Source organism: Homo sapiens, chromosome 1 (genome assembly GCF_000001405.40).
Source record: "Homo sapiens chromosome 1, GRCh38.p14 Primary Assembly".
In the NCBI taxonomy this organism is placed as follows: domain Eukaryota; kingdom Metazoa; phylum Chordata; class Mammalia; order Primates; family Hominidae; genus Homo; species Homo sapiens.
Window position 1 is genome coordinate 76031414 of NC_000001.11, and position 8660 is coordinate 76040073.

Consider the following 8660-nt stretch of genomic DNA (forward strand, 5'->3'; position numbering starts at 1 on the left):
TCTCTTCCATCAAACCAACTCCCCTCTTTCTTTCAAGATTAAGTCTTATATTTACTATATCCATTTTTAAAGGCATTTAACCTTTTAAAAACCATGCTGGTATTTTTCTATTATCAGTGTTTTTGTTAACAGCCTTCTTACCAAGTTACATGTAGTTTCGGTAGTCTGTTTTTGTGTCTATTTTGCCCATTAGCCCAGGAAGTTTTAGTTTGTGATTTGGAAGAATAAATGATTGCCTGTGTTGAATGAAGTGCTGGACTTAAGAGCAATGGTTCCCAATTCTGATGACACATCATAATCACCAAGGGAACCTAAAAAACTTCAAACCTGTAGGGTCCACTTCAGGACCTCCCAGGGGTGGGACCTGTAACATTGTGTTTTTAGCAAGTTCATTTGCAGCCAGCCTGTGAAGCTGTGATTTGGAATCACTAGACAGATGACCTCTAGCATCACGATTTTAAGATGCTACCCACCTCCCCTGTCATCTATTACAATGAAACACACACTATCCTTGGAATAGTGAAGCAGCAAAACATGCATCTCAATGTCTACATGGACAGCTGCCCCCACTGCACTGAATTTTATGTATCAAGCACAGTATGTTAAAACCACGGACATTATGCAAGATAAACATCTCCAGTAAAATAGCCTTCAAGTCACAAATGTCTTCATATCACTAAAATTTTAGCTCTCAAGAACATTGTGTTTATTGAGCAAATTTAAAAGGTGAGCCTGTCTTTCAGCTAGAATGCCAGAAATTTAAACAGATTAAGAATATTCTGAAGTCAGTATGCAAATTGGCAATAGGACTCTAATTTGTGACTATTTTCATCCCAACCAACATGAGAAATTTTGATATCATTGGAAATCTTTACTTGCAAGAGCTGTTATTAGAATAGGAAGGGTGGGGTGGTCAGGATGGAGGTATGTTTACTCTGCAGCTGGTCATTAGCCTGGAACTTGCTCAAGTCGATTTTATGGCCATTAATTTCGATGCCCCCATTAGAAAATTTACTTCGAAGGCCATTTGCATGACATCTGCTCTCCTTTCAATCTTGTCTTCTCCCCTCAGTAAATGTAATTTCCACAGTGACTGCTTAACTGACAATTTTAAGCAGGCAAATCTTGAACTTTCCACATTAAATAGGAATCTAACTTTTTAGAAAGTTATCTATAGCAATGAAATGTTTTCTTAGTCTTGTGCTGAAGTATAAATAGGCAGCTGAGCTATGGGCCTACTGCTGTCGAATCTTGATAAGAGAAATGCCAAGAGGTTTGAAGAAGAAGAATAAGAAAAACCTGATATAAAGCTGTGCTTCAATACTTTCAGCAAATTATAGGATATTAATAACCCATCCCAGGTTGTCATGTGTGCAGGAGGCTTATTGCAGCAGAACAGAGATTATGCCCTCCCTGGCGTACCTTGGATGTCTGGCAAAACAAACTTAAAACAGGAAGCGTAACTCACAAATCAAAGATAAAAAATATTCCTCTTAACATTTCCTAGAACTTACTAGGTCTGTTCAGCAACTGCTTTCTCCTGCTAATGAGTTAAGATCTCATTAGAATGGTGAGTGATTCTGTAAGCCAGAAACCCTGCATTTTGCAGGCACTGGTCTCAAAATTGTCACCACTTGCCTTGACTTCTTGGCCTTCTATAGGTCTTTACAATAAAGAGTGAAACCAGAATCACATTTCTTCAGTCCCTTTGTACAATAATTTGACTACAAAATCATACTTCATTGGATAAATTTCTGTAAGTAAGCAGAAGATATTTGAAATATTAATAACACGGGAAAGGTAAAGGAGTGAAAGCAAGTCCTTTGTGGAAACTAGAATCCTTGCTACCCTCCATCCTAAGCAAGAGCGTGAGATAAAAGTGAGAATATTTACTGAGCCCTAAATTCTCTTAAATGAGCAAGAGTGAATTGAAACTTTCAGTGGTCTCCAGGCTACTTGAATGAGAGGCCCTAATCCAGAACAAGAAGAGTTACCGAAAATATAAGCAAGAAATAAGAGGAGAGAAAGAATTAAGAAGGGAAAAGAGAGGAATAAAAGTAGACGAGGATGGAAAGAGAACAGAATACTTCATACCTCATATACTATGTTTGATACATTGTATACAGCAACATCTTAGAAATATCATTTGAAAATGACTGTTCATTTTCCCAGGAAATTAAATATTAAAATATCTTGTTGTTCATTTTGCAACTCTATTGTGAGTTCCCTCTATTGTGATTAATCTTCTTCCAGTACTACCATACACCTAGCACGTAGTAGACATTCAATAAACTGGAGGAGGGGGAGGCAGCAGGATAATGTTTGCTTTTTTATTTTTAAACTCATTTCATTTTTTGAATAAGTATTATATTCACATTGTTATGTTTTGTTGTCCCCCCTCCCTCCAAAATACATATTTTGAATCTCTAATCCTCAATATGACTCTATTTGGAGATAGGGCTTCTGAGAAGGTAATTAAGGTTAAATGCGGTCATAAGAGTGGGGCCCTAATACAAAGAACCAGTGTCCTTATAAGAAGAGGAGACATGGGGAGTGCATGCATGCAGAGGAAAGATCATGTGAGGACACAGTGGGAAGGAGGCCATCTACAAGTCAGGAAGAGAGGCCTCACGAACCTAAGCCTGCTGTCACCTTTGTTTTGGACTTTCAGCCTCCAGAACTGTAAGAAGATAAATTTCTGTTAAGCCACTCAGTCTGTGGTATTTGGTTATGGCAGCCCAAGCTGACTAAACAACATGGCCCTAAGATTAAAAGGTAACAGTGAAAAGTCTTTCTCCTTGCCTCTTTCTCAAATGATTATATCCTTCCCTACCTTTTAAACAGTAGGCAGCATATTAATGAATGACTTTCTGATGGACCGTGACTAATGTGTCTATCAGTAATACAATGGAATCTAATAGGCTGTAGTAGAATGATGTCCTTATGACCAGGAGACATGCAGGGCTTTGAACTATTACCCTTTTTTATTCTCACACTGTGGTAACTTTCTATTTCTGAATTTTTAAAAATAGTTTTTAAGATTTTTTTCTCCATCAGTTATCAGCTATTACTGGGGCTATGAATGTGCTTCACACTAGCATCTGCCCCACTTATTGCTGATTACCAACTTTGTTAAAATTGTTTCTTTTTTAAAAATCTTTATTTTATTTTATTTTAAGTTCCAGGATACATGTTTAGGATGTGCAGGTTTGTTATATAGGTAAACATGTGCCATGGCAGTTTGCTGCACCTACCAACCCATCACCTGGATATTAAGCCTCAAATTCGTTAGCTTTTTATCCTGATGCTCTCCCTCCCCCTTGCCCTGCACCCCACAAAAGACCCTAGTGTGTGTCGTTCTCCTCTTTGTGTCCATTGTTCTCATTGTTCAGCTTCCACTTATAAGTGAGAGCATGTGGTGTTTGGTTTGCTGTTCTGCGTTAGTTTGCTGAGGATAATGGCTTCCAGCTCCATCCATGTCTTTGCAAAGGACATGATCTCATTCCTTTTTATGGCTGCATAGTATTCCATGGTATATATGTATCACTTTTCTTTATCTAGTCTATCATTGATGGGCATTTGGGTTGATTCCTAAAATTGTTTCTAAAGTAGAAGTCAGTAAGATCTAAGTGACAGCCAAGCTTTTCTGTATGAGATAAGCACATGGGCTTTGATTTCTCTTTTACTGTTTCAGAAGTCATTTTTTTTTATTGTTTTTTAGTTTCTGGCTATGTTCCGGTAGTTGAGATTGCCAGAGATGTGATTTGCAGTTAGCATTTTGTATTCATAACTGACTGTTCCTCCTCTATAATTTCACAGTCTAAAATGTCCTGGCTTTGTCAGGAGGTGGCATCAGTTTGCCTAGTAGCTTACAGTTATGGACCTTGCATTGTTTGCCTTTGAGAGTTTCAAAAATGTCCACCTATTCTCAACCCATCAGTTTCATATATCTGCCCAGATGATTTGATATCCAAACAGAAAACTATTTGTAGCAATATACTTCAAATTAAACAAGAAGCCCCCTTACTTATACGTGAGCTTTTCCATTACACATGGATGTGATGTTCTCTGGAAAGGTGTACGGTGGGCAGTGCTCAGGCTGAGGACTAAACTGTGAGAGCCCTATGAGAGTGGTTACATGAACCACTGCTTGCTGAGCATCATCATATCATAGATTAAAACTAGGCAAATGAAGACCACTCTCCATTATTCTCTCCCGGTCCAGAAAAGGAGCAGCAGCTTTCTTGCTCCTTAGTCTAAACCATACAATAAAATATAACCATTTCCCCATATTTTTAGTCCATTTGGGAGAATCAGCCAGGCCTGGATGTGCCTTTGGTTCTTTTACATGAGTCTGGAGTCTGACAGATGTGAGTTCAAATCTTGATTCCAGCACTTACTGGCCACATGACTGTATCGAAGTTTCTTAATGTCTCTACACCTTGCTTTTTTATATGTAAAATAGGAATATTCTTAGTATCTATCTCATAGGGCTGTTGTTAGGATTAAATGAGGTGATATATGTGAAGAATTTCTTGGAACCTTTTGGCATGAAGACCAATTTATGATATATTAACTATTTATGGGCTACTTTAAAAATTGAGATTTGGGATATATTTAAGTCCCTTAGAAAGAATGTATATCCATACAAATTAAATTACCTACATTATTTAATAGAAGAATGTCAGTGAGAAAATGGCATGCTCATTATCCCCAGCAATTTTTCTATGAGGGCACAACTCTAATCTTTCATTGTGGAACTAGCGTGTGAGTCAAAAGGGATCCACAGATCATGGGATGCTCAATGTTGGAACACAACACTAATACCTGATGGATAATTTGACTGATTAGAATGACCTATCACTTATCATCATCAATAAATCACAGCATGTGAAACCATACTGCATACCTTGAATATTATTGCTTCAACTCTCATTCTCCTCTCATAGCACAAAGCATTTTGCTTAACAACAGCCACATTCTTATTAAAGTGAGCCCACAGGAAATGTTTGAAAATGGTACCCTAAGACCAGAATCACATGAAAGTTTGTTAAAATGCAGATTTTTGAGGCTGGGCTGGCTCTGAGAGTAGGAATTATTAAGACTGCAAATGATGACAAATTTACAGAATTATTGCCCTGAAATGTACAGAGGTAGGCTTTTTAGCCTCTTTCTTGAGTTTTCTGGTTTTTTTCTTGTGCATATTCTCCAATAAGAAAGCAGTTAATCTAGAACAGTGATTTCAAACCCCAGCTCCCACCTGCTTTGTGATTGCACATTGGGAGTCTGATTTCAAAGGTGTGCAGTGAAGCTTGGATCATTCTAATATTTCTCCAGAAATCACGATTCTGACAATCCTGATTTTATCAAAGCTCTATAAGTGCTAAATAGTTTTTCTGAATAGAAGACAAATATCTTTCCCTTGTTAATCCTTTTATTAAAAGATACATAACAGTATGTTTTATCCTACTCTAGCCTTACATGAAAACCTAACCCCAAGCCTGTATATGATATAGTATTTGACATTTTGAATAAATAATGGAACATCTGGAATCTTCAAAATCAACTTAGAAATTTCAGTTTTGCACAAATCTCTTAATACTCTAGGATCTGGATAAACAAATTACATTCCCTATGCTGAGTTAAATCAGATTAATGAAACATTATAAGTATCTCAGTGTAATACTCCAGATTTGATGTAATCTGTGACCACCCCACCTCTCAGACATATAGCTTTAGAGAGGCACAGTCCCCTTTGCCTGAGAGAACCCATCTTTTTCCCACACTGTCATCCTCCGTGGCTATCACAACTGGCTCACTTATTTTTTAAGTTAAATTATTTGTCTTCCATGTAGTTGGAGGAAGTCAATTATCTTAAAAACTTCAGTGGCTTCTTGTTGGTTTTCTTCAAATGTGACACCCACATGAGGACAAAGAAAGCTTCTCCAAAGGTCCTGATGAAGGTGGAGCAGTTTTAAAATTACCCAGGGCTCAGTACTCAACTTCTCAGTGGGAAGCAGATGTCCGTCCTGTAAGAGGAAACTCCAATATTCAACAAGTGTTGTGAGTCCAAAGTCCCAGGACTCAAAGAATACACTTAGCACTTTGCCTGAAGTCATGTATGGGAAACCAAACACTTACTTTAGTACCTGCAACATTATAGGATAAAGGTCATACTAGCAGGTGATGAATATCATGCCTTAGGAACTCCAAGCAGACAACGATTTTCTGTACTTTGCTTTAGAGGTGAGAGCCGCATTGGAGGCTCAGGGAAAGTGACATACAGAAGACAACAGCTGCGTTTTGGTTGGAGGTGATTTGAAGCTGTTTGTTATTTCACATGGCAGGGATGAGGAAAAATGGGTGGAGGGGAGGAAGGTCTACTTGTTTATTTTCCATCTCCTGTGGAGTATTTGACATCTGGAAGTTCCAATTAGCATTTTTAAAGTTGTGTTTCAGATCACCCTTATGATTTTCAATTGGCATTAATCTGAGATGCCCCAGATGATCTTTTACACTTTCGTTAAACATTGTGATGATGCCTTTATAACTTCTTCAAATAGCTGAACCACTGGCCAAATTTTGAAAAGCAGATCATCAATCCAGAAAGTGTGACACTGTGTTCACACAACCAAGGATTGCAAATGATGCAATTTTAGCACCATATTCTTCATCTAAGACAACTTACCAGAATCCTTTGCATAAATTAATAGTTAAGGTTCTTTTTATAATTCTCTAGTGATCCACTAGTGCACCTTCTCTAGTGACTGACTATGCGCAGACATCAGTATCTACATAGAGTCTAATCAAGTTGTCCAGTTGATATGCTGAGATCCCTGGAAAAAACCAGGAATCTTCAGAAAAGCATTAGTTACCTCTAGAAGTGCTATTTCTTCCACTTTCTTTCTCATGTTACCAAATAGTTTCGCATTAGCTCTAAAGGAGGTAATCTACTTACTCTATCAGGTCCCTTATCTGTATTATCTGTGGCAAAATAATTCTGCTGACTTTGCTCTGAATAATTACCAAGAGCTCACTTAACATGGCTATAATTCTCTCCCCATCTGACTGAGGAATGTTCTTAAACTCCCTCAATCATTCCAGCCCACATTCTTTCAGTATAGCAACAGCGTGTCTGTAACTTTTGTTTCCTTTAATTCAGGATCATCAGAGTGGGTATAAAACAATGACCACCTTTCACAGAATGAACTATACTTACAGTGTTTAATATATATTATCTCATTTGATCCTTAGGACAAAAAGTTATATACATATATGTGTATCTATAAATGTATGTATTTATCGCTTTTTATAGGTAGTATTGAAACCACAGTTCAAGGGCAGTAGCCCAAGATTACTCCACTAGTGAGCAATAAACTTGGGATTTTAAACACAGGCTTTGGTTTCAAAAGTCAATTTTTTTAAGGCTCATAAAATAATTCTTTGGCTTAGCAAAGCCCCTTGCTTATTTATATATACCACTTTAAACATATTAAGTATATTAGTTAGAAACATTTTGAATACTAGTGACAAAAAAAAGTAACTCAAGCTAGTTTAGTAAAAAATGGAAATTTATCAGTTCAGTTGTCTGCAGGAGAAAGCAGGGGTGTGGCTGAGCACAGGCCCATGGAGCTAGGGACTCTTGTTCTCTCAGGCCTCTCTTTCTCTCCCTCTTTTTCTTTCCTTTTCTTTTGCACACCACCTCCCCATTCCCCGCTTTTTTTTTCCAGACAAGCTTCTTTACATAATGAGAAGCAAAACCTTCAGCAACATCTCTAGCTGGTTTGGGTTAGATGCCCATCTCTGGACTCATCAATTGTGGCCAAAACAACGGGGCCCTATCGTGTAAAGCCCCCTTTAGAACCTCCGCATGTCTAGAATCAGGGAGAGACGAGATTCCCCAAAGAGGGAGGTTAACATTCCCAGAAGGAGGGAATTATATGATTTCAACTTATATTCTCATATGGATAGAAATGCATTTACCACACTCCTAATGTAAATCAGAATTTCTGATTTTCTGATGCTCTAACCACATTTCCTAATGCTACATTGCACCCAGCACAATGTCTGGCACCCAGAGATGTTCAACTGCTATTCTTCAAAGTATAAATACATTTCACCCATTTTTACTTTCATTCTACTGCTTCATTAAAAATATTTTGTATTTCCTTACATTCCATCTGGAAGTCTATAACTTAGTACCTGTGTAATAAGGGATTTGGCACTATCACCTCTCTAAAATAACATGTTAAAATGGTAAGCATTCTATGGTTTTCTTGGGGAGACTTTTTTTTTTTTTTTCTTTGAGACGGAGTCTTGCTCTGTCGCTCAGGCTGGAGTGCAGTGGTACAATCTCGGCTCACTGCAACCTCCACTTCCCTGGCTCAAGCAATTCCCCTGCCTCAGCCTCCCGAGTAGCTGGATTACAGGCGCACGTCACCACACCCGGCTAATTTTTTTGTATTTTTAGTAGAGAAGGGGCCTCACCGTGTTGGCCACACATGAACTCCTGACCTCAGGCAATCCACCAGCCTCGGCCTCCCAAAGTGCTGGGATTACAGGCGTGAGCCTCCGCGCCCGGCCAGGGAGACATATTTATATGTAAAAAGCAAATGTATCTTGTCATTGGATGCTCATCCACAAGAGTCACAAACCCCATT